At 37.7% G+C, this 27,192-nt stretch overlaps 1 long non-coding RNA gene across 1 annotated transcript, besides 1 other annotated feature; it reads right to left on the bottom strand.

Moving 5' to 3' along the window:
- Positions 1 to 1,911: 1,911 nt before the first annotated feature.
- Positions 1,912 to 27,192, bottom strand: LOC107986635 (uncharacterized). The gene is made up of 3 exons (XR_001744307.1): positions 26,641 to 27,192; positions 18,460 to 18,546; positions 1,912 to 2,037 (listed from the first exon to the last, which is right to left on the bottom strand). It is a non-coding gene; the product is annotated as an uncharacterized LOC107986635 (long non-coding RNA).
- Positions 19,578 to 20,155: an enhancer, noted in NCBI's record as "OCT4-NANOG-H3K27ac-H3K4me1 hESC enhancer chr6:113240678-113241255 (GRCh37/hg19 assembly coordinates)". NCBI's record gives its function as "activates a minimal SCP1, AML or CMV promoter by ChIP-STARR-seq in naive H9 embryonic stem cells {active_cell/tissue: H9 hESC(naive)}" and the evidence as "EXISTENCE:reporter gene assay evidence [ECO:0000049][PMID:30033119]".

Here is a 27,192-nt window from a genome sequence, read left to right as displayed (position 1 = left end):
CAATGGTAATTGTAAAGAAATCATCCTAGAACAGAGACCAATCTCTGCCCCTTCTTGGGACATACATGTTGAGGAGAAGCACAAATCAACATCATTATTTTCATTACAAGGATCATGTTTACAAGGAAATATCCAGATGATATCTCAGTATCTGAATCAGCAGGACAGATTACTTGTAGGACTCCAAACGATTGAATGTTTGGGGGTCTACATTCACCACACTGGTTGTCATTAATATACAGTCAAAATGGACCAGATAAACATTTTTCTTTTACCAGTAATAGCAAGATATTATAGAGCATTCCGTCCTATTCCAATAAGCTATTCCTAAATTAGAACCAGAATTTAATATTCTCCCTATTTCTCTAAGTATTTTAAAGATTAAGTGAGCAAAAATACGGTAGAATTTTTAAAATTACAAAGGGATTTTCCAATATACCAAGTATGGCATCTCTATGGTTTCATTATAATTTACTTTTAATCCTTAATTTATTTTTGCTAATAGTAACATTATTATCTTAAATATGTATTTTTAAATAAAATTCATATAATTGAATGATTCAACATATTATTTGATGCAACAAATTTGGGTTTCTTTGCTGTTCCTTTTTAGAAAAAAACTATTATAGTCACTTATTTCTGAAAATTCTTATACTGTACAATGTTAGCTGTAACTGGGGCCATTTAATCTTTTTCAAAATCAGGGTCCTATCCAAGAACAATAAATCACTCTCATTATTTCAGTCTTACTATATAAATACTAGAGAAATGTTGACAATTCAACCACTGTCTTTCGTAACCCTTTGAGTCACTACAAATAAATAAATACATTGCATGCAGTCTAAACAATATGATTGTAAATTTATGATAAGGGTACATTTTCTTTCTATCATCCTAAATTTTAGAGTTTTTACGTAACATCAATGGTTCACCAAAACTGAAGGTTTGATGAGTGTGTTGAATTTCAGTGAAAATCAAATTTCTTTTCCATATTGCTTTATATTAGATAATAAAGACTTTAAAAGGTTGACTTGGCAAATAATATTATTTGTTACTTTTTATTCTAATGAACAATGGAGATACACTCCCCTGTAATCTAAATGATTTTTGTAATGGTGGAAAAGATGTTTTGTTTGATTTTTAAACTAACCATTTATATGAATAACCATACCAAATATGAAAATGAGAATACAAAATTCTGACGATTTTAGTTTTGCTACAATAATAGATTAGACTACTCATCTGGAGATTTGATTATGTCCATAGGGCTAGAAACACGCACATACATGCATTTACAGAAAACAGAAGACAGAGGCTGTAATTAGCTATTGAAGTGTGACCTCATTATTTAATGCTTTAACAAGGCATGTATCTACTCAGATAGCTGGAATAATAATGATGGTAGAGCCCTCCAAAGCAATGCACCTCATTTATATATCCATGTGGCAGTATCGTTTCAAGGAATACATTTTGAAATAACAGTTACTTAAAAATCTGTAGTTTACAGCAAGGGTTGAAGAGAAGCTACAACTTTTCCAAACCCAGCCTCTCTCCCTACGTATTGGGCCATTCTCACATTGCTAGAAATACCCGAGACTGGGTAATTTTTTTTTTTTTTTCCGAGACAGAGTTTTGCTCTGTCACCCAGGCTGGAGTGCAGTGGCACGATATCAGTGCACTGCAACCTCCACCTCCCGGGTTCAACCAATTCTCCTGCCTAAGCCTCCGGAGTAGCTGAGATTACAGGGGCCCACCACCGCGCCCGGATAATGTTTGTATTTTTAGTAGAGATAGGGTTTCACCATGTTGGCCAGGCTGGTCTCAAATGCCTGACTTTGTGATCCACCCACCTCGGCCTCCCAAAGTGCTGGGATTACGGGTGTGAGCCACGGCACCCAGCGGAGGCTGTGTAATTTATAACGAAAAGAGGATAAATTAACTCACGGTGCTGCAGGCTGCACAAGAAGCATGGAGTTGGCATCTCCTTCTGGGGAAGCCTCTGGAAGCTTACAATCATGGTGGAAGGTGAAGCAGAAGCTTGTAAGTCACACAGCAAAAACAAGAGGGAGAGAGAGGGGAAGGTGTCACATACTTTTAAACAACGAGATTGCATGATAACTCATTATTGTAAGGACAGCATCAAGAGGATGGTGCTGAACCATTCATGAGAAATCCACCCCTATGATCTAATCACCTCCCACCAGGCCCCACTTCCAACATTGGGGGACTGCAATTCAACATGAGATTTGAGCAGGGACATGTATCCAAAACGATATCACCCTGCTTTACTATAGTTATTGTAAAATCATTTTCATGAAGAGGCCTAAAGATGCTTATCATAAAATTAATACTCTTAAAAGTACAATGATACTGAATCTTCAGAATAATTAAGATTTTGGGGGGCTCAACTACACTAGTTTTAACTATTAATTTATGCACCATTTATTTTAACCTGCAATTTTTATTTTTATAGTTGTTCGAAATAATGAAAACTGCTTCTGATGGTGTAAATGATAAATTCCTATACACTGTTTTACTAGAAGTAGTTCTTTTAGCAATTGTATGACAAAACAAAGGACATTTCTTCTATACACAAAAGCTATCTTTTAATCCACAGATTGTTGTTGGCTTCTGAGATACTAGGTACAAATATTTAGCTTAGCCTCATAAAATATCGCCACTGAAATTAGGTGGAGTTCTGATTGATTTAATGCTGAAGAATGTGGTTTATTATAGCACAGGCAACTGAAAAAGTATATGAAATAATTAAAATTGGAATCAGACACACCCATAATGCTCACTAGAAAACAATATAATTAAAACCACACGGATATATCATATGACCTTGACCTAAATGGAGTCAGTCTTGGACAATTCAGCAAGGCCTGTTTATCTTTGCCTTTTAATATTTTTGCTCATCCTTCTTCAGTACTGAGAAGAAAAGCAAATGGCTTATTTTTATTGGAAAGCACCCAAACATCTGTACATGGGTTTCTACTCTACTAACCATCCAACTAGAGCTTGGGTCACTTCCTAAAGTATGTGCAACTCTGTATGCCTGTATGCAGACTCAACAAGGTGGGGCAAAATCTCATTTAATTTAGACAGCATGGTTATGTAACTTAATTAAAAAACTCTTTCAAATATTACATATTCAAGTTTAAACTCTTCTATTTGCCTGTAATTCCTAACGTTTAATGATTGTTTACTTTTAATCTAAACTATTTGTTATGTACTTGCTAATAAAAAAGATAATTCAATTGCTGTTAGTATTTTCCTACCTTCTCTTTCCATCCCATTTTGTCCTCTACCACAAGAGGCCCGATGCACATCCACGCAGACACCACAGCCTGCATGTTCAAGGTCTTTTCACGTCCCTTTAAACGGCGGCCCTGTAGCCATCCCTCAGGCCTAGAGTTGCATATACTCTAGTGTGTAATCTGCCATCGGAAAATGGATCTAGGGAGGAAGACTGCAAAGACTCTGGAACTGAGCTTGGGGCACTTATGCCAGAGTTCCAGGTTCCTGAACTATGGTTTAGAAATGGCAGCAGGCAGTTACAGCCTCTGAGTAAGTTCCCTTGATCTATAAGATGTCTTACCCTCATAAGAAGGGGAAGACCAGAAGAGGATAAGAATAGACTCCTTTAAAGTATGGACGCCCAAGGCAGGGCCACTATTACCTGGGAATATAGAGATACAGGAAATGAGAGTCACAGTCAAAGAGAGAGTGAGCTGTGCCACCCCTTTGGAGAGCTCTAGTGGAGGCAGCTCTGAGTGAGAGGTAGACTGAGCCAGACTTTTTGCACTTAAGCAGGGAGCTAGAGAGAGCAGGATTAAACTCCTATATATTATAGATTGGACTTCTTGCACTTCTTATATTCTTTGTATTTAAGCCCTTAGGTATTGGTTTTTCTTAGTGTTATGCAATATATTTTGTATTTTTCAGCCTATCTTAGCTGTGCTGTAGAGAGCTATCAATACTTGAATCAGTACATTTAAAGGGGTCAGCATCTCCGGGTGCAAGTGAAATGTGACAGAAATAATCAAAGAGAGAGGATATTAGGGGGAAGTGAAATTGAAGAGAGCAAGGTCCAGATCATTCAAACTTTGTACAAAGATAACCCTGAAAGTCCTGAGTTTAATTAAGAGATAATTTCACTTCTCTCACTTAACTTGTAATTTGATTTTTATATCACTAAATTAATCTGCATAAATTTATGATACAGACAATTTCCTAGCTCAAAAGGGATATATGTCTCCCTATTACCCACTATATCCTGTCTAATGCTTCTTTCACTCATTTAATATTTATTCATCATCTACTGTATATCAAGGACTGTGCTAGGCAATGGAAATACAAAAACAAACAAAATAAACTTGGTCCTGACCACACTCAGGATGCAGTAGAGATGCTAATAGGTAAAGATGATAAGTACTGTGTAATCATAAAGAAAAAGAATAGAGTGTTAGGGAGAAAGTAGGAGACAGAGAAAGTAGGAAATGGGAGAAAGCAGGAGAAATAAGTATTGGGGAGAAAGTAGGGGAAGGAGGAAGGTATTTGCCAACTTCAAATAGGGGAGACTACATTTAAGCAAATACATAAGAAAGAGAAGGAATCGACATTCACAAAGGAGGAAGAAGAGTGTTCTAGGAAAAAGAACAGCATATGCAAAGTCCTTGAGGTGGGGTTATTTGTCTTTTGCAGAAGTGAAAGGACAGTGATCCTAGAGTGTAACAAAGAAGAGGGAGAATGATGTTGGTATTGGCCAGGGACCAAATTAGGCAGGATTTTTTGGCAATATTCAGGAGTTTGATTTTCTTTCTCACAACAAAGGATTGTCATTGAAGAATTTTCCACAAGGCACTGGCATAAACTGTTTTATATTTTATGAAACTCTCATTTGCTGTGTTGTGAAGAGTGAATTAGAATGGATCATGAGTTGATCCTAAAGTACTATGGAAGGCTGGAATAGGCCAGTGAGAAACCATATGGTTTGGTTTTATTTCACAATAGAAATTAGGGGAATTAGGCAAGTTTGAGATATATTCTGGAGGCAGAATCTGACCAGTTATGTGAAATTTCTCCACTAAGCTGCAGTTTCATAGATACAAATTTGGAAGAAAATAAATCATTGGGATTTTTCTGGGGAGATCACAAAAGCAATAAAAATATTTACTGACAATGATTAGAATATGAACTACAGAATTCAAACTGGAAAAGAACAGATGGAAAGAGAGGAGAGGATTAATGGATGAAAGGAAAATTATGGGGTCAATAAGTGTGAAATGTGAAATTTGTGGAAAAAGAGTAATAGTGTTGATATGAATCTGTCAGATTGTTTGTTTGTTTGTTTGTCTGTTGCATGCCAAGAAGCCAACTGCATATCCCTTAAATGTTAAAGGGAAAACTATAACCAAATCTTGGATAATACATAGCAAAACCTCATGGAAATTCTAGAAGAGGCTCATGAGATGACTCAGTGAAACCACCACTCATTTCTGTTTATCTTTGCTCATTTGTTTTTCATCAATGTCCAAGAGATAGGCTTTTTTTCTGACTTCAAAGTGTATTAATATATCTCTAATTATCATTCACCCACATTCAGAGGACAGGGTAGATAAAACATATTGGAAAATTAGAGAAGTAACCATGTATCAATAAACCATACAGCTTGAGTAAGAGAGCTAGAGGCCCAAGAGGTTGTAGTTGGAGAGTGGAATGTTAGAAAACTGTGAATTCAGAAACAGCGCAATTTCAGATGACAAGAAGGTGTGATATGGGGTGGGAACGGAGTACTGCAAGAGAAGTTCTTGTCAGGGAATCAAAGCTATTCATTATCTATTGAGCAAAGTAAGAAACAAAGGATTTTTCCTGCCTGGGGTGTGGGAAGAGCTAAAGAGCAAGAATCAAAATGAAGACTGCCAATCAGAAGACCAAACTGGAGGTCATGGAAAGAACAGACAGGGAATTTTGTGGGTTAAAGATGGTAAATTTTTAATCTTAAAGGAGCACTGTATTTTATGGAGCAATGGAGACAAATAAGGAGCAATGGGGACACACAGCACAGGTCTCAGCCCCGCACTGGCCCCAGTGGCCTATCGTTCCCTTTATCCCTCCAGGTTTCTGCATTATCCCTTGCAATTCTCCTATATCTTCTGATACCTTTGTATTTAATCCTTTCGCAAATGAACTCTTGTTGGAATTTGGGTGTATCATTAATTTCCTTTTAGGACCCTAAATGATCCAACAGTTACTCTAAAACATCTTGTTCCCATTTTTCTCTTTCATATATGTTGGTAAATAACAATTGTATTAGTCTGTTTTCACACTGTTGATAAAGACATACTCAAAACCTGGCAATTTACAAAAGAAAGAGGTTTAATGGACTTACAGGTCTACATGGCTGGGGAGGCCTCATGATCATGGTGGAAGGTGAAAGGCACATCTCACATGGCAGCAGACAAGAGAGCTTGTGCAGGAAACCTCCTCTTTTTAAAACCATCAGATCTCATGAGACTTATTCACTACCATGAGAACAGCACAGGAAAGACCTGCTCCCATGATTCAATTATCTCCCACCAGGTCTCTCCCACCACACATGGGAATTCAAGATGAGATTTAGGTGGGGACACAGCCAAACTATATCAATAATGATTAAATGTTGGGTAATTATAAATAACCCAAAACTGTGTATATATCATCTAATACTAGATATGCAGTAGATTGTGCTACCTCCATATTAAGGGCAAGGAAACTAAGGCTCAGGAATGTTAAGTTGTGTAGTCAGTAAGTTGCAGAACCAGTCTGAGTCCAACACCTGTACTCTTAAATAAAATTGCTATACCAATTCTGACAAGGGGAACACCAAGAAGAGAGGGCCTCATCTCTGCCCATAAGGAGAGAAGCATATTTTTGGTTAAAAAATTAATTAATGTATGTGTGTATGCAGGGACGTATGAATGTATGAATATGTATACAGACACATACACCATACACATATAAAACTTACAAGTAATAAGTGATGATTTTCTTGGGTAGATGTAAACAGCACAAGTGTTTAAAAAAAGTGTATGTATTCTAACGAAGAAGGAAGACAAAAGAAGAAAATGGTATACATTCTAAACAATGAATGTTATTTGTTTTTTATCTACAAACAATGTGCCTTGTATTCTTTGGAAATGAAAACTACTAGAGTTTTTGAAACTTTTAGTTATAAAGGATGTGCGTGTGTGTGTCTGTGTGTCTCTGCAGTGTGTGTATGAGTGTACGTGCGTGTATTCTTCAAACAACAAACTCGTTGGTTGGTATAGAAAAAATCCACTTGAAAACTTGCCTGAATTTTATCAAAATAGGTCATGGCTTTGTGAAGTTTGCTTGATGCAAGCAGCATTTATTTTAGAAGTAGGAAGGTTAAGCCATTCTTTGCATATAGATAGTCACACAGGAAAATAGCTCAGTAAATTCAAAGCATGAAGAGCAAAGTTGTTATGATTACATTCTATTTCCATTTCATCTGACCTTACGGTGTGTGCTCATTATTTTCTGCTGCTTATCCAACCCATTCCCTAGTCCCCCTGAGTCTGAGGTCAATGCAATGGCATTTCCCCTCGAGAGCATTATTACCTCACACCCTATAATTGGCTAGTGGAATTAAAGAGATTGTGGTTATGGGAACAGAAAATTCCCCCTTTGACAAAAATGCAGAATTGTCATCGTTTGATTTACTTTTAGCCATTCAAACATTATTCAGTATTACAAGTTAAAAAAACATTATTTTATTATTTTTTCTAAACAAAATTTGAGATGTTTGCTATAAAAGTGGGCTGGCTAAAAACGATTAGAAAATACATTAACAACTTGGAGAAATTCCAGATACTATCAATCCAGACACTTTTGTTGTAGAACAATCCTTCGACATCATTTATAATTCATGGGAGAGTTGTTTTCACATAAGGGAAGTTATCTTCCAAGGTCATACAGAAGAGAGCATACAATATCTGACACAACAGAAACTGACAGAAGGAGTGTTCTTGGGGTTTTAAATTTGTCATTTTATCTGTAAAAACACAAATATGTTTTTTATAAAATAGCCCATTTATGATATGGCATTTCTGTTGTCAATACTTTACAGAAGGTGAGAACAGTAGTTGGTGTATTTCAGGGAAATTTTTGAATCTTTTCTGACGATACCAGAACTAGAAAACTAAGTTGAAAATCCTACCATCCCCAAAGTGCATCTCTTAGGAGCAGAAGCTGAGGTGCATAAGTTTTTCCTTGGTAATCTTGTAAACAATAACTCTTAACCACTGGTGGCAAGGGGATGTGTCCATTCAGTACCATCAAAGACAGTTGAAATCAAAGAAACTGAAAATGGACGTCAGTTGGGTAGAGGCTACCCACTAATGAAATCTAATACAGACATTGATAAAAATAGCTTTCATATTCATTGAAATTGGATAGTTCATATAGGCTTTTTTCAATTATATTTTAGATTGTTAAATAATTAGGTACTGTTACTTCTGATTACTTGGCAGAATGCAAATAGAAATCTTACATACATGCCATGCCCTAGAGAGAAAGAGCAGGTAGAAAGGAGAGGAAGATGCAGAGGGACAGGGAGAGGGAGGGAAAGGGAGGAAGAGAGAGAGAGAGAGAGAGAGAGAGAGAGAGAGAGAGAGAGAGAGATTAGGAGATGGCAATGCGCAGTGCAGCTAACATTCTTGTAGAATATTGAATATTTAGCATCCTTCACACTTTCTGAACACCAAACAAGATTTCTGGGGTCAAGATTATTCCAAGTACAGACTTCCCTTTGTTTCATTCTAAGGCTTAAAAAATGGCCTTTTTTTCTTAGGACAGCAGCATTCCTGAAGGCTACAAACACAAGAGAAGGGAAAATGTTCATGAATCAAATCAACCAAGTTGTGTTTGTGTGTATTCTATGAACTGTAGACAATGTGGAAGAAACAAGAAGTGTATAAGGGACTATTTTGAAAACTGAAAGAACTGAGCTTTCAGATGCCAAGAACACCAAAACATACAAGGCAACTAGGGATCAGCCGGAGCACAAAGTCCAGTGAAATCTAAAACCTCACTCTTCGGGGAGGCTGAAGACTTGATCCAAATTGTACCTCACTTTTCACTAACATGCTGGGCTCCTCTACCTTGGGTAACTTTAAACCATATGGACCTCAGCTGATTAATCTATTAATGAGGAATATGTTCTAGATTAGGGATTAGCATGCATGCTGGAGTCTTCCCTGTTCCTCCACCCACACCACCAATAGGCTTGGATGGTCACACCTTTTCTTGTTGAATCTAAAAATGCTGCATGTACTCTGTTTCATGTGTATGACAGAAATATAAACAGGAAGATGGGAAAAGAAGGTCTTAAATTATAAACTTTTATGGTAAACAAACTGGTTTGGATTAATCTTATCCTAAATCAACTGGTTTCTTAATATCTACTATGCATGAAAATAACCCTGGAAGATTTTCTTTTAAATAGCAGTGTTCAATTCAAGCCTTATCTTCAAAACTCCAAATTCAGTTGTTTTGGGGACAGAACCTGAGTATCCCCTTTTTGAAAAGCACCTCTCATGAATCTTATGTCCTGAAAGGGTTAATAACCATTAATTTGAAGGGGGAGTGGACCTAAAGGGATCAAAACAGTCACACTGGACAATACTTCCCAGGTAAGCATAACAAACAGAAGAGAGAGAGGGAAATACCAGGAGAGCTTGCTGTGGTATGTCTCTGTGTAGGAGGAAGGGATTTTGTTGGGCTTTAAAGGTTTAAGCAGGATCTAAATAAATATTGAAAAGGGGGGAGAGAAAATTTCAGATTGAGGAAGCAGAATAGATAAAAACCACAAAAATGAAAAGCAATGTCATGAGCAGAAAGATGTTAAGGCTGCTCATGTTGTGAGCTATGAGAAATTAGATCTGCTAAGTGTAGGGAAGATATTGAAATTGACCAGCTTTTATCCTTTGAAGGTTCTTTGAATTGTTCCTATGCAACTGACGTAGGAGTGTTACAAAAGCATTCAACCTAAATTTTAAGTGACTGAATAAATAAGTTTTAAATACTTATAGAAAAAAAATCAGTCTTTTGATCTGACCAACAGAGAAGCCCTTACTCTAGTAGGAAATGCTGGTAACTAGAAATTCTGCTCTTCTTGTTTAGATCCTAGAAGGAAATATAAATTGCTTCTGAAAATGTTTTCCTATGAAACCAGTGTAAGAATTCCACAACCAGTGAAACATAATTTAACTTAGTGCTAATGTTAGAGAAAACCCATACCATAAGGGTTCTTTCTTTTTTTATAACAATGTTGAAACCACTGGGGCAGAAAATGAAATTATTTTATACATCATTATGTCACCATAAAGGCTAACAGAGAGCTTTATAGAATGTGAGTATTCAGTACATGTATGAAATTAACAAAATATAATCAGTTCAGGGTCCCTCTGTTTTCTTTTCCAATTACTGCTTTTTTGTTTTCTAGCATTTGAGTTCTCATAGCTGCATCTTTTTCCTAATTAAAGCCTTTTTGTTTGCTGTTTTCTCAGCCAACATAAATCATCCATCCAACAAGCTTCTCAGTTGAGGAAACATTTCTCATTTAGGATACATACAGTTTAGGATACATTTCTAAAGTTATTTGTAAGATAATATGAGCTCTTAAATAACTTGAGAAAAAAATCATTTAACATGATGTAAAGCATGATAGATATACCTAGACCATGAAAAAAGAGCTTTACACATAATTTCTTTGCTATTTAACTTTGGGTTTTCTAGGCTGCTAAAAATAACCCAGGCACACCTGTGTTATTAATTGATACTTTATACTGTAGAGTTTGGGTTATACTGTGTTTCCACTTAAGTGTTGATGGCTAGGCAGCTGCTTAAATTTATCTGGTACATTTGAATGATTTCAAGTTAGCAGCATTTTCCATGATTAGCACAGTAATAATAATAGTAACTCATGAAATGTAAAGCTCTTCATTTAGTTCTGTCAGTGATAGATCATTATTGTTAATCTTGGCCTTTCTGCTTCCAGTAACTGCCACACAAATAAGAGATTGCATTAGGTAATAATAATAATAATAATAATAATAATAATAATTCAACAGAATCAATGCTATGCATAAGCATAGAGAAGTTGTTTCTCAAACATTTGCTACTCTCCCTTTTATAGGCAAGCTGGAAATCATATTTTTTTTCCTACAGGCTGTAAACATTCATGAAATGTCTTAATGTCACTCAGTATCCTCCAATTTATATTTTTTAAAAAACATATGTTTATGAACCCAAAACTGAGAGTAATTCAGAAGTTTGGGGTTTGGATCAGAATAGGCCCAGACAGCTGGTGTCAGCTTGGAGGGTCTCCTAAAGAAGGCACATTCAAAGGAAAAAAGTTTGTTTTCATTGTGAATGGATTCCACTTAGATCAATAATTTCTCAGTATTAAACTAAGCCAAAATTTTCCACTTCTCATCCAAATTGCTGTTGGATTTTTTTTTAAACTCATCCATCATCTTCCTATCTCACATAATACATTTTCGTTTTATTATGTATTCCCTTCTAGCCTTTTAACCAGTAAGTTTTTTAGTCATATGCTATGTATATATGAGTATTCTGTAAACACAAATATATTTCTTTGTATATTTAGGAAATAATATTAGCATTATTTCAATATGGCAAAGAAAGAATGTCCAGTCCAACTAGCCATCTGTTAGACTAGATGTTTTTATGCTACATCCCTGTAGGGATTGTCTGAGTCAGGCATGAATACTCACAGTGATGAATAATTCACTACCGCTGGAAATCTTTGGATAACTAATTCGTATTTGAAAATTCTCTCTACAATGTAGTAGGATACTTTCTGCATATCGTTCTCTCTCCAGTCTTTAACAACATTAAGATAGAGTCTAATGTGTCTTCCACATGCTAGTGTACATGCTAGTCACACTTCTTGCAGTAATTCCTCATATGACATAGTTTCCAAATCTATCCCTTATCAAATAAATTTCTTCAAGACATTATCTTTCTAATTACAGAAAGATGCATCTATTCAGAGATGCAAGTATTAGAGTATGTAAGCAAAATATGTAAGGCAAAGTATTAGCTTGGATTTTTGTTTGGTTTTGTTTGTTTTTGGTCTTGTGTCCTTCTTGTTGACTGTATCAAAGTTTACCATTGAATAAAATGACAAGTTATGTAGTTTGGATGTTTATCCCAGCCCAAATTTCATATTGAAATGTAATCCTCAATGTTGGAGGTGGGGCCTGCTGGGAGATGTTTGGATCATCGGGGCGAATCCTTCATGAATGGCTCGGGCCATCCCCTTAGTGATAAGTGACCTCTCACTCTCAGTTCATGGGATATCTGGTCCTTGAAAAGTGTGTGGCACCTTCCCTCCTGCCCCCACTCGCTCTCTCTCTGTTTTGCTCATGCTTTTGCCATGTAACATGCCTGCTCCCCCTTTGCCTTCTGGCATGGTTGTAAACTTCTCAAGGCCTTCCACAAGCCAAGTAGATGTTGGCACCATGCTTCCTGTAAAGCCTGCAGAGCCGTGAGCCAGGTAAACCTCTTTTCTCTATAAATTACTCAGTCTCAGTTATTTCTTTATAGCATTGCAAGAATGGCCTAATACAACAAGGTTGCTAGCCAGTTGAACAGATACTGTTAGTTGTTCACCATAACTCGTGTTCACTACAACCATGGTTTATTCTTACCAGTTGAATTTCTAATGTATTCAAGTATCTAGCATGAGAGAAGATATCTCTATCCTGAACTTAAGGTTAAATCAGAGTCCATGTTAATTATGATGATTTGTTTTCCTTGTCAGAATTGATTAAGGAGTAGCCATGTGACCCAGGTCTAGTCCATGAGATGTGTGAGAAGCCTGCTGTGAGGGAGTAGGGAGACAGGCTTCTGAAAAGTTTTTCTTACAAGTGAAAAGAGAACACATAAAGGAACAGATTCTGTGGGACACTATCTTATCTGCCTGTGATGGCTGGAAATATGACAGCCTTCTTGTAAGCATGAGGTGGATTGAGCAGATGACAGACAGACACACAGATGATGACAAATCAGTTCTTTTTCATTTGTTTTTAAGGTTATTGAGATACAATTTAAATAGAGTAAAACTACAGATACATAAATCTATGAGTTTTGACAAATGTGTATAGTCATATAGCAATATCACAATCAAGATATAGAATAGTTTTATCACCCCAACAAGTTCCCCATGCCTCTTCATAGTCAATCATCTCTCCCCAACCCTGACCATTGGTAACCACTGATATTTTTTCTGTCATAGTTTTGACTTTTTCAGATGTCATATAAATAGAGTTATATAGTATACAGCCTTTGAGTCGGGATTTTAAAATTTAGTATAATAAGTTTGAGGCTCACCCATGTTATTACCTAAAACAGTAGGATGTTCCTTTTAATTGCTGAGTAGTATTCCATTTTATGGACGTGTAATGTGAACATTGGTTCTTAATGGTATTCAGCCACAGAATTAACCAGATTGAAAGCCATCCTACTCTGGGACACATTGATAGGTGAGATTTTTTTTCTTTTAAACTATTTTGGTATTTTTTGTCCAACTCATTCTAGCTGATATATCAGATTGATCCATTCTACCACAAATAATGTCAAGGATTGAGTTCAAATGTAAGATAGCATGTTGATTCCTGCTGAGCATTTCACCTAAATGCTGAGTCATTCCAAGTAAGTTTGTCTAAAATTACTATCTATAGCCTGTTCACTTAAATTCTATTTTAATAGATTGGGCACACAGTGGCTGTCAAAATTTGTTTTGGCCCTGATTTTGTCATTTAATATGTATGCTATTCTATTGAGTTTATCCTGCTATAGTTTGGGTGAGCCTACCATCTTTTATTTTATTTATTTATTTATTTATTTATTTGTTTGTTTGTTTTTTTGTGAGAGGGAGTCTCGCTCTGTCATCCAGGCTGGAGTGCAGTGGCGTGATCTTGGCTCACTGAACATCCCAGGTTCAAGTGATTCTCCTGCCTCAGCCTCCCGAGTAGCTGGAATTATGCCACACCCAGCTAATTTATGTATTTTAGTAGCAAGGTTTCACCATGTTGGCCAGGCTGGTCTTGAACTCCTGACCTCAAGTGAGCCACCCGCCTCAGCCTCCCAAAGTGCTGGGATTACAGGCGTGAGTCACCGTGCCCGGCCGACCATCTATCAGCTAATACAACATATCTCTATAACAAAAATTACTTACATTGAAATCCAAGCATATTGTCTTTCATTATATTTTTTCTTTCTTTTTAGGCAATGCATTTACCCTTCTCAATAGAGATGAGCATATTATTCCAATTGTTTTTAGATTTTCCCCAAACCTATTTTTCTCTTTGGAATGCTTGTTCTTAATAATGTATAGAGCTAATCTAAATTAATTATTCTCCATACTAATGTTCAATTATTTGGGCAAAATTTAAGATGTTTACACTCTGCTAAATATTTTACTTATATTCTCTCAGTTAGTCTTTACAATTATTATCTCAACTGTACAGATGAGGAAACTAAGGCTTAAATCTCACATCACCCAAGGTAACATGCCTTAAATAAAATTATCTACATTCAAATTTACAAAATGTCAAACAAATAAATTATTTACAACAATGTGTTTTCCTTTTCAAATATGACTTTTGTAGCTATAAGGAGAAGGTTTAATTTTATTTCATTAATTTCTCAATATTTTAAAAAATAAATATATCAGTCTTCTACATTAAAACCCAATGGCTGCATTCAGTATAAATGTATTTATATGATTTTGTGTCTATTTCATATTTTGCAAATTGTTCTAGCTAAAAGCAGAGTAGTATCAATACAAATGATTATCTATACATATGGTGGCCCCCTAGCATCTAACAACATTCTTCAATAAGCCTCTACATCTTGTCACTCATGTCCTGAAATACAGGTCTATGTCTCAATAGATATAATAGTTGTATGCAGCTGCTCTGCCATTTGTTTTTCCTCATAGATGGAATATTGAAGCCCCAAATCATATACTAAAAGGACACTGACAAAACAGAGAACCTTCTGCAGGCACTTTACAAAATTTCATTTATGACATGATACAACACCATGAGGTTATTTTCTAAATCATCTGTTTAAGCAAGGGCATCAGTACCCTTTCATAGCAAGACATAAAGCAGGTTGCCCTGGAGAGTTCACTGGTATCCCTGCCCAGTGGCCATTTTCCCACTAATTTGCTTTTACAGTCAGTCAGGGTATTCAGTCCTGTCTCCATTAATCATCTCCAGGGGAATGAGCCAACAAAGGTTATGATGCTCTGTTTTAGGATGTCAGTTTTATTTGTCTTGAATAAAAAAAATCTCCTAGACAATTAGCCATGGCAATTCCAAAGCTGACAATTGGAGGCCTTTCTTCAATTTAGGAAAGAACCCTGGGAAATGACAAGAAAGACCACAAAGTAAGGGAATTTCCCTATTCTAGTTATGCTGAGACTAATGTGAAATGTGTACAGGAATATCTCATAGACATTGTGGGTTCAGTTCCAGACAACCACAATGAATCAAATATTGCAATAAAAAAAGCTACACAAATTTTTCGGTTTCCAGTGCATATAAAAGTTACACTATAGTGGCCGGGCACAGTAGCTCATGCCTGTAATCCCAGCACTTTGGGAGGCCGAGGCGGGCGGATCACGAGGTCAGGAGATTGAGACCAACCTGGCTAACACGGTGAAACCCCGTCTCTACTAAAAATACAAAAAATTAGCCGGGCATGGTGGCGGACACCTGTAGTACCAGCTACTGGGGAGACTGAGGCAGGAGAACGGCGTGAACCCAGGAGGCGGAGCTTGCAGTGAGTGGAGATCCCACCACTGCACTCCAGCCTGGGTGAGACAGCAAGACTCTGTCTCAAAAAAAAAAGAAAAAAAGTTACACTTTAGTATAGTGTGCGATAACATTATAGCCAAAAATGTACATACTCTAATTAAAAACATTTTATTAAAAAATGCTAATGATCAGCTGAGCCTGCAAAGAGTCCTTATCTTTTTGTTTGTTTGTTTTTTGGCTGCTGAAGGTTGAGGTTGCTGTGGCACTTTCTTAGGATAACAATAAAGATTACTGAATGCAATAGCATGCAATGCATTTTGATAACATTTTACCCACAGCAGAATTTTTTTTCAAAACTAGAGTCAATCCTCTCAAACCCTGCCACTGCTTTATCAGCCACACTTACGTAAATTCTAAGCCATTTATTGTCATTTCAACAATGTTCACAGCATCTTCATCAGGAGTAGATTTCATCTCAAGAAAACTACTTTGTTTCCTTATTTATAAAAAAAATCTCCTCATCCGTTTGCGTTTGATCATGACATTGCAGCAATTCAGTCACATCTTCGGGCTCCACATCTACTTCCAGTTCTCTTGCTATTTTTACCACATCCACATTTACTTCCTCCACTAAAGTCTTGAACCCTTCAACACCATTCATGAGGGCTAGAATTAACTTATTTCAAACTCCTGTTAATGTTGATATTGTGACCTCCTCCCATGAATCACAAATGTTTTTAATGGCATCTTTCCAGAAGGTTTTCAAGTTCAATTTACTTTGACCAGATCCATTAGAGGAATTAATATCTATGGCAGCTACAGCCTTATAAAATTACTTCTTAATCCATGGGCTGCAGAATGGAGGTGTTATTAGGCACGAAAACAACATTAATCTTCTCATACATCTTCATCAGAGCTCTTGGGGCACTAGCTGTCTTGGCAGTGAGCAGCAATATTTTGAAAGGAATCTTTTTTTCTGAGCAGTAGGTCTCAACAGTGGGCTTAAAATATTAAGTAAAACACGCTGTAAGCAGATGTACTGTCATCCAGGCATCATTGTTCCATTTATAGCACACAGGCAGAGTACATTTAGAGTAATTCTTTAGGGCCCTAGGATTTTCAGAATGGTAAATGAGCATTGGCTTCAACTTAAAGTCATGAGCTGCCTTAGCACCTCATAAAAGAGTAAGTCTGTCCTTTGAAACTTTGAAGCCAGGCAGTGACTTCTCCTTTGTAGCTCTGAAAGTTCTAGATGGCATCTTCTTCCAATAGAAAGCTTTTTCATCTACATTGAAAATCTGTTGTGTATTGTAGCCACCTTCATCAAACATCTTAGCTAGGTCTTTCTGGACAATTTGCTGCAGTGTCTACGTCAGCACTTGCTGCTTCACCTTACACGTTGATGTTACGCAGACAGTTTTATTCCTTAAATCTTAGGACTTATGGACCAACCTCTGTCAGTTTCCAACTTTTCTTCTGCAGCTTCCTCACTTTTCTCAACTTTCATAGAATTGAAGATATTTAGATTCTTGCTCTGGACTAGGCTTTAGTTTAAAGGAATGTTGTAGCTGGTTTGATCTTCTATCCCGACCACTAAAATTTTCTCCATATCAACAATAATGCTGTTTTGCTTACTTATTCATGTGTTCACAGGAGTAGCACTTTAATTTCTCTTAAAAACTCTTCCTTTACATTCACAACTTAGCTAACTGGTTGGGGCAAGAGGCCTAGATTTCAGCCTATCTTGAGTTTCAACATGCCTTTCACAGTAAGCTTAATCATTTCTAGCTTTTGACTTAAAGTGAGAGATGTGTGATTCTTCCTCTCACTTGAACACTTAGAGGCCACTGTAGGGATTTTAATTGGTCTAATTTTTGTTGTTGTTTGTTTGTTTTTGAGACGGAGTCTCACTCTGTTGCCAGGCTGGAGTGAAGTAGCGCAATCTCTGCTCACTGCAAACTCCACCTCCCGGGTTCAAGCTATTCTCCTGCTTCAGCTTCCTGAGTAACTGAGACTATAGGTACATGCCACCATGCCCAACTAATTTTTTTGTATTTTTAGTAGAGACAGGGTTTCACCATGTTGGCCAGAATGGTCTCAATCTCCTGACCTCATGATCCACATGCCTCAGCCTCCCAAAGTGCTGGGATTACAGGTGTGAGCCACGGGTCCCAGCCTCCTTAATTGGTCTGATTTTAATATTGTTAAAGTTAGAGAATAGGGAGGCCCAAGAAGAGGGAGAGAGACAGGGAAGTGGTCTGTCACTGAAGCAGACAGAATATGAACAACATTTATTGATTAAATCTGCTGTCTTATACGGGCACAGTTCATGGCACCCTGAAACAATTACAATAGTATTATCAAAGGTCATTGATCACTGATCACCGTAACAGATACAATAATAATAATAAATTGAAAATCGTGTAAATTATCAAAGTGTGACACAAAGACAGGAAGTAAACACATGCTGTTGGAAAAATAGTGTCAATAGACTTGCTCAGTCATAGTTACCATAAAACTTGTGTCTGCAAAAATTCAGTATCTGCTAAGTGCAATAAAACAAGTTGCCCATAAAGAAGTATGCAAACAGGATTCTTACTTCATGAGACAATTGCTTCACCTCCAAGCATGAATGTCTTCACAGTAATAATGACGGATGCCTCTGCTGTAGCTTTCTGAAGCAGATCTATTATAAACAAAGTGATTTGAACCCATTAGCAGTAAAGATGATCAGCCTATTTTTTAAATAGTAGATAGTTTGATTTTCCTCAATTAACTTGAACAGATACGGCACTAAGGAGAAAATGTATGCATAGTGCACAGAAAACTATTTTGGGAGAACTGGGAAATGCATTCTTTGGGGAACGCACTCTGTTTCAAACCCAGTCTCTGACACTTACATCCAAGTAATCTCGGCCAATTCCAGAGTTTCTCTGTGCCAAAGGTCCCTTATCTTATCTTATAGAACACAACGTTACCTACCCACCACATAGCGTTACGGAGAAGATTAAATAACATATTTCATGTAAAGTGCAGAGAACTGTATATAGCACATTATAGATGTTCAATTAACAGTAGCTATCATTATTACTGTGGCAGTTGCTGTTGTATATGTGAATTACAGTTCTACTTTTAGACATCATTTGGAGCTATCTGTACCTTGTAGGTATCAGAATCATCAAATCATTCGGATTCCACAAATACTACACCATCTAAATCAAAAGTAAAAAATCCTATGTTTTTGAAACATATTTTTTCAAGGAAAAGACTTAAAAATAATAAACTTTTTCAGATATTTAAATATAAGATACATAAATATTCTGTTATTCAGCATGAAAATGTGCTTTCTACGTCGTGGTTTCAGTTGTTTTCAAAATATATTTGTTCTCATCTAGAAGGCACTGATAGAGAAACAAACAAACAAACAAAAAAAGGTAAAATAAGAATCACCCTTTCTGCATTTCCATCTGAGGTACCGGGTTCATCTCACTAGGAAGTGCCAGACAGTGGGCGCAGGCCAGTGGGTGCCCGCACCATGCGCGAGCCAAAGCAGGGCAAGGCATTGCCTCACCTGGGAAGTGCAAGGGGTCAGGGAGTTCCCTTTCCGAGTCAAAGAAAGGGGTGACAGACGCACCTGGAAAATCGGGTCACTCCCACCCAAATATTGCGCTTTTCAGACCGGCTTAAAAAACGGCGCACCACGAGACTATATCCCACACCTGGCTCGGAGGGTCCTACGCCCACGGAATCTCGCTGATTGCTAGCACAGCAGTCTGAGATCAAACTGCAAGGCAGCAGCGAGGCTGGGGGAGGGGCACCCGCCATTGCCCAGGCTAGCTTAGGTAAACAAAGCAGCCTGGAAGCTCAAACTGGGTGGAGCCCACCACAGCTCAAGGAGGCCTGCCTGCCTCTGTAGGCTCCACCTCTGGGGGCAGGGCACAGACAAACAAAAAGACAGCAGTAACCTCTGCAGACTTAAATGTCCCTGTCTGACAGCTTTGAAGGGAGCAGTGGTTCTCCCAGCACGCAGCTGGAGATCTGAGAACGGGCAGACTGCCTCCTCAAGTGGGTCCCTGACCCCTGACCCCCGAGCAGCCTAACTGGGAGGCACCCCCCAGCAGGGGCACACTGACACCTCACATGGCAGGGTATTCCAACAGACCTGCAGCTGAGGGTCCTGTCTGTTAGAAGGAAAACTAACAAACAGAAAGGACATCCACACCAAAAACCCATCTGTACATCACCATCATCAAAGACCAAAAGTAGATAAAACCACAAAGATGGGGAAAAAACAGAACAGAAAAACTGGAAGCTCTAAAAATCAGAGCGCCTCTCCTCCTCCAAAGGAACGCAGCTCCTCACCAGCAACGGAACAAAGCTGGATGGAGAATGACTTTGACGAGCTGAGACAAGAAGGCTTCAGACGATCAAATTACTCTGAGCTACGGGAGGACATTCAAACCAAAGGCAAAGAAGTTGAAAACTTTGAAAAAAACTTAGAAGAATGTATAACTAGAATAACCAATACAGAGAAGTGCTTAAAGGAGCTGATGGAGCTGAGAACCAAGGCTCGAGAACTACGTGAAGAATGCAGAAGCCTCAGGAGCCGATGCAATCAACTGGAAGAAAGGGTGTCAGCAATGGAAGATGAAATGAATGAAATGAAGCGAGAAGGGAAGTTTAGAGAAAAAAGAATAAAAAGAAATGAGCAAAGCCTCCAAGAAATATGGGACTATGTGAAAAGACCAAATCTATGTCTGATTGGTGTACCTGAAAGTGATGGGGAGAATGGAACCAAGTTGGAAAACACTCTGCAGGATATTATCCAGGAGAACTTCCCCAATCTAGCAAGGCAGCCCAATGTTCAGATTCAGGACATACAGAGAACGCCACAAAGATACTCCTCGAGATGAGCAACTCCAAGACACATAATTGTCAGATTCACCAAAGTTGAAATGAAGGAAAAAATGTTAAGGGCAGCCAGAGAGAAAGGTCGGGTTACCCTCAAAGGGAAGCCCGTCAGACTAACAGCGGATCTCTCGGCAGAAACCCTACAAGCCAGAAGAGAGTGGGGGCCAATATTCAACATTCTTAAAGAAAAGAATTTTCAACACAGAATTTCATATCCAGCCAAGCTAAGCTTCATAAGTGAAGGAGAAATAAAATACTTTACAGACAAGCAAATGCTGAGAGATTTTGTCACCACCAGGCCTGCCCTAAAAGAGCTCCTGAAGGAAGCACTAAACATGGAAAGGAACAACCGGTACCAGCCGCTGCAAAATCGTGCCAAAATGTAAAGACCATCGAGACTAGGAAGAAACTGCATCAACTAACGAGCAAAATCACCAGCTAACATCATAATGACAGGATCAAATTCACACATAACAATATTAACTTTAAATGTCAATGGACTAAATTCTCCAATTAAAAGACACAGACTGGCAAATTGGATAAACAGTCAAGACCCATCAGTGTGCTGTATTCAGGAAACCCATCTCACGTGCAGAGACACACATAGGCTCAAAATAAAAGGATGGAGGAAGATCTACCAAGCAAATGGAAAACAAAAAAAGGCAGGGGTTGCAATCCTAGTCTCTGATAAAACAGACTTTAAACCAACAAAGATCAAAAGAGACAAAGAAGGCCATTACATAATGGTAAAGGGATCAATTCAACAAGAAGAGCTAACTATCCTAAATATATATGCACCCAATACAGGAGCACCCAGATTCATAAAGCAAGTCCTGAGTGACCTACAAAGAGACTTAGACTCCCACACAATAATAATGGGAGACTTTAACACCCCACTGTCAACATTAGACAGATCAACGAGACAGAAAGTCAACAAGGATACCCAGGAATTGAACTCAGCTCTGCACCAAGCAGACCTAATAGACATCTACAGAACTCTCCACCCCAAATCAACAGAATATACATTTTTTTCAGCACCACACCACACCTATTCCAAAATTGACCACATACTTGGAACTAAAGCTCTCCTCAGCAAATGTAAAAGAACAGAAATTATAACAAACTACCTCTCAGACCACAGTGCAATCAAACTAGAACTCAGGATTAAGAATCTCACTCAAAGCCGCTCAACTACATGGAAACTGAACAACCTGCTCCTGAATGACTACTGGGTACATAACGAAATGAAGGCAGAAATAAAGATGTTCTTTGAAACCAACGAGAACAAAGACACAACATACCAGAATCTCTGGGACACATTCAAAGCAGTGTGTAGAGGGAAATTTATAGCACTAAATGCCCACAAGAGAAAGCAGGAAAGATCCAAAATTGACACCCTAACATCACAATTAAAAGAACTAGAAAAGCAAGAGCAAACACATTCAAAAGCTAGCAGAAGGCAAGAAATAACTAAAATCAGAGCAGAACTGAAGGAAATAGAGACACAAAAAACCCTTCAAAAAATCAATGAATCCAGGAGCTGGTTTTTTGAAAGGATCAACAAAATTGATAGACCGCTAGCAAGACTAATAAAGAAAAAAAGAGAGAAGAATCAAATAGACACAATAAAAAATGATAAAGGGGATATCACCACCGATCCCACAGAAATACAAACTACCATCAGAGAATACTACAAACACCTCTACGCAAATAAACTAGAAAATCTAGAAGAAATGGATAAATTCCTCGACACATACACTCTCCCAAGACTAAACCAGGAAGAAGTTGAATCTCTTAATAGACCAATAACAGGAGCTGAAATTGTGGCAATAATCAATAGCTTACCAACCAAAAAGAGTCCAGGACCAGATGGATTCACAGCCGAATTCTACCAGAGGTACAAGGAGGAACTGGTACCATTCCTTCTAAAACTATTCCAATCAATAGAAAAAGAGGGAATCCTCCCTAACTCATTTTATGAGGCCAGCATCATTCTGATACCAAAGCCAGGCAGAGACACAACAAAAAAAGATAATTTTAGAACAATATCCTTGATGAACATTGATGCAAAAATCCTCAATAAAATACTGGCAAACCGAATCCAGCAGCACATCAAAAAGCTTATCCACCATGATCAAGTGGGCTTCATCCCTGGGATGCAAGGCTGGTTCAATATACACAAATCAATAAATGTAATCCAGCATATAAACAGAGCCAAAGACAAAAACCACATGATTATCTCAATAGATGCAGAAAAAGCCTTTGACGAAATTCAACAACGCTTCATGCTAAAAACTCTCAAGAAATTAGGTATTGATGGGACGTATTTCAAAATAATAAGAGCTATCTGTGACAAACCCACAGCCAATATCATACTGAATGGGCAAAAACTGGAAGCATTCCCTTTGAAAACTGGCACAAGACAGGGATGCCCTCTCTCACCACTCCTGTTCAACATAGTGTTGGAAGTTCTGGCCAGGGCAATTAGGCAAGAGAAGGAAATAAAGGGTATTCAATTAGGAAAAGAGGAAGTTGAATTGTCCCTGTTTGCAGACGACATGATTGTATATCTAGAAAACCCCATTGTCTCAGCCCAAAATCTCCTTAAGCTGATAAGCAACTTCAGCAAAGTCTCAGGATACAAAATCAATGTACAAAAATCACAAGCATTCTTATACACCAACAACAGACAAACAGAGAGCCAAATCATGAGTGAACTCCCATTCACAATTGCTTCAAAGAGAATAAAATACCTAGGAATCCAACTTACAAGGGATGTGAAGGACCTCTTCAAGGAGAACTACAAACCACTGCTCAAGGAAATAAAAGAGGATACAAACAAATGGAAGAACATTCCATGCTCATGGGTAGGAAGAATCAATATCGTGAAAATGGCCATACTGCCCAAGGTAATTTACAGATTCAATGCCATCCCCATCAAGCTACCAATGACTTTCTTCACAGAATTGGAAAAAACTACTTTAAAGTTCATATGGAACCAAAAAAGAGCCCGCATTGCCAAGTCAATCCTAAGCCAAAAGAACAAAGCTGGAGGCATCACACTACCTGACTTCAAACTATACTACAAGGCTACAGTAACCAAAACAGCATGGTACTGGTACCAAAACAGAGATATAGATCAATGGAACAGAACAGAGCCCTCAGATATAACGCCGCATACCTACAACTGTCTGATCTTTGACAAACCTGAGAAAAACAAGCAATGGGGAAAGGATTCCCTATTTAATAAATGGTGCTGGGAAAACTGACTAGCCATACGTAGAAAGCTGAAACTGGATCCCTTCCTTACACCTTATACAAAAATCAATTCAAGATGGATTAAAGATTTAAACGTTAGACCTAAAACCATAAAAACCCTAGAAGAAAACCTAGGCATTACCAGTCAGGACATAGGCATGGGCAAGACTTCATGTCCAAAACACCAAAAGCAATGGCAACAAAAGCCAAAATTGACAAATGGGATCTAATTAAACTAAAGAGCTTCTGCACAGCAAAAGAAACTACCATCAGAGTGAACAGGCAACCTACAAAATGGGAGAAAATTTTTGCAACCTACTCATCTGACAAAGGGCTAATATCCAGAATCTACAATGAACTCAAACAAATTTACAAGAAAAAAACAAACAACCCCATCAAAAAGTGGGCGAAGGACATGAACAGACACTTCTCAAAAGAAGACATTTATTCAGCCAAAAAACACATGAAAAAATGCTCATCATCACTGGCCATCAGAGAAATGCAAATCAAAACCACTATGAGATACCATCTCACACCAGTTAGAATGGCAATCATTAAAAAGTCAGGAAACAACAGGTGCTGGAGAGGATGTGGAGAAATAGGAACACTTTTACACTGTTGGTGGGAGTGTAAACTAGTTCAACCATTGTGGAAGTCAGTGTGGCGATTCCTCAGGGATCTAGAACTAGAAATACCATTTGACCCAGCCATCCCATTACTGGGTATATACCCAAAGGACTATAAATCATGCTGCTATAAAGACACACGCACATGTATGTTTATTGCGGCATTATTCACAATAGCAAAGACTTGGAACCAACCCAAATGTCCAACAATGATAGACTGGATTAAGAAAATGTGGCACATATACACCATGGAATACTATGCAGCCATAAAAAATGATGAGTTCATGTCCTTTGTAGGGACATGGATGAAATTGGAAATCATCATTCTCAGTAAACTATCACAAGGACAAAAAACCAAACACCGCATATTCTCACTCATAGGTGGGAATTGAACAATGAGATCACATGGACACAGGAAGGGGAATATCACACTCTGGGGACTGTGGTTGGGTCGGGGGAGGGGGGAGGGATAGCATTGGGAGATAAACCTAATGCTAGATGACGAGTTAGTGGGTGCAGCACACCAGCATGGCACATGTATACATATGTAACTAACCTGCACAATGTGCACATGTACCCTAAAACTTAAAGTATAATAAAAAAAAAAAAAGAATCACCCTTAATAAGTATATTTTACTGAATCACCAGAGAAATATTCTTCCTGTCACATGGCTTTTCCACACTTTTCCGTTTGAACTATTTCTTACATCTCTTTGCCTTTGAACTAAAAAAAAGCATAATCAAATATTTATAAATAATAGCAATGATATGCTAGGTAATATGTGTGGAGTGCACATAAACGCCCAACACTACTGTTTCATGTGTATTATCTTGTAAGGTCTTCACAATGAATGTATGAGGTCTTATTATTATTGTCATTTTTTAGATGGAGAAACTAAGGCACAGAGAATTTTGAAAACTTGTTCCAATGTATCTAGTAAGAAAAAGGGCTGACACTGAATCCCTGTGGAGTATGCTGTTAACCAACTGCACTTCACTTCCTCTAAAGCCAGCTGTCCAGAGCATGGCCATAGTGCCACACTCCCACTGATTATAACTGTCCACTTGGCTTGACTGGCCGTCTAACAATAATCTTCCGGTTATTTTTTACAGAATTCCATTTTTACCCATTCTAGTTTTTTTCTAAATATATTTTATATCAAAAACAAACTCTCATAAGCACAAAAAATGAAGGTTACTCGAGTCTGATTTCCTTCACACCCACAGGTGTGGTGAATGAACCTTCCATGTGCAGACGGTGAGTCAAAAGAAACATCTGTATATCGCTAATGTCTAGATTTGCTAAATTGGACTATAAACTAATTGAATCAACTACTAAACACATCTCCACTACTGAAACACCTACCTCATTCAGTTTTGTCACAGTTTGGTGGAGATAAGTGATTACCATTATGATGCCTTCACTACACTTCTGGAATTTCCATTTATATCTGAAAAACATTTCTTTGTGTTTCTTTTTAATTCTCCTTGGAGATGAATAGTCACATGTCAAAGGAAAGGGATTAAGTTTTGCATAAAGCCAAAATTCATTTAAACAAAAGGATAGAAAAAGGAATACTTTAGCACTATGGCCAAAGAAAGAGAGACAAAATAAGATAGAAAGGGAAAAGAAAGAGAGAAAGATAGCAAATGGAAAAAGAGAAAAAGAAAAAAATGTCTTCTCTGTATGGTTATAATAGATCCAGAATGTGATTCTGAAAAAAGAGTCACCAAGAACATTTTGAGTGGTATTAAATTGCATTCACTGTAATATGTGCGTAACCTCCACAGATGATAATGTCTAGAAAGTAAAAAGCAATTTGCTAAAGCTCTGAGAAAAAATACTCTCAATTTTATCTTATTTTACCTTTTTTTTTTTTTTTTTACAGGCACTAAGTAAAAACTCCTATGTCTTTGAATCTCCATAGAAGATCGTGAAATAGTGAAGAAAAGGAGTTTGTTGGAATGTGGACTTGTATTCAAACCTGTTTGTGTGCCCCCCTCTTGATTTCTTAAGCAGCCAAATGCCTCATTTCTGCATACTGTTATTCTTCCTTGGGCCTGCTGCTCTGGAATTTTTGACTCTAATCCAACTGCAACTGTGGAAAGAGAGTAGTTTTAATAATAGTGGAAACTTACTGTTATTATTCAAACTTTACATCATCCTGAAGCAAAAATATTTGTTTGTAAGATACAGCCTTTTGTAAGCCCACATTATCTAACACTCTATTCTTAGGTTCAATTAGCAAAAGCACTTGCTTTCTTTTCAGGGTTTTTCTCACCTTTCTCAGCTAGATCACTTCCTAAACTGTATTCTTCACCATCCTTCCCTCCTCCTAGCCAAATAATTTTAGTCTCAGGAAAGAACTCTTTGGGTTGTATTGTTTTATGGCAGGATCAGTTTTGCTAATTCTTCCTGAGCATTCTCAAAGTGTGGCTTTTTTCCAAAGCTGAAATGCAAAATAATGTGATTTCCGTGGTTTCCTGCATGATCCAATTTAAGGCATTTGGAGTGCTTATATTTTATAGCATTAAAT

This window comes from Homo sapiens, chromosome 6 (assembly GCF_000001405.40).
Source record: "Homo sapiens chromosome 6, GRCh38.p14 Primary Assembly".
In the NCBI taxonomy this organism is placed as follows: Eukaryota; Metazoa; Chordata; class Mammalia; order Primates; family Hominidae; genus Homo; species Homo sapiens.
The sequence above is the reverse complement of the archived record's forward strand: the minus strand, read 5'-3'. Positions and strand labels throughout refer to the sequence as shown.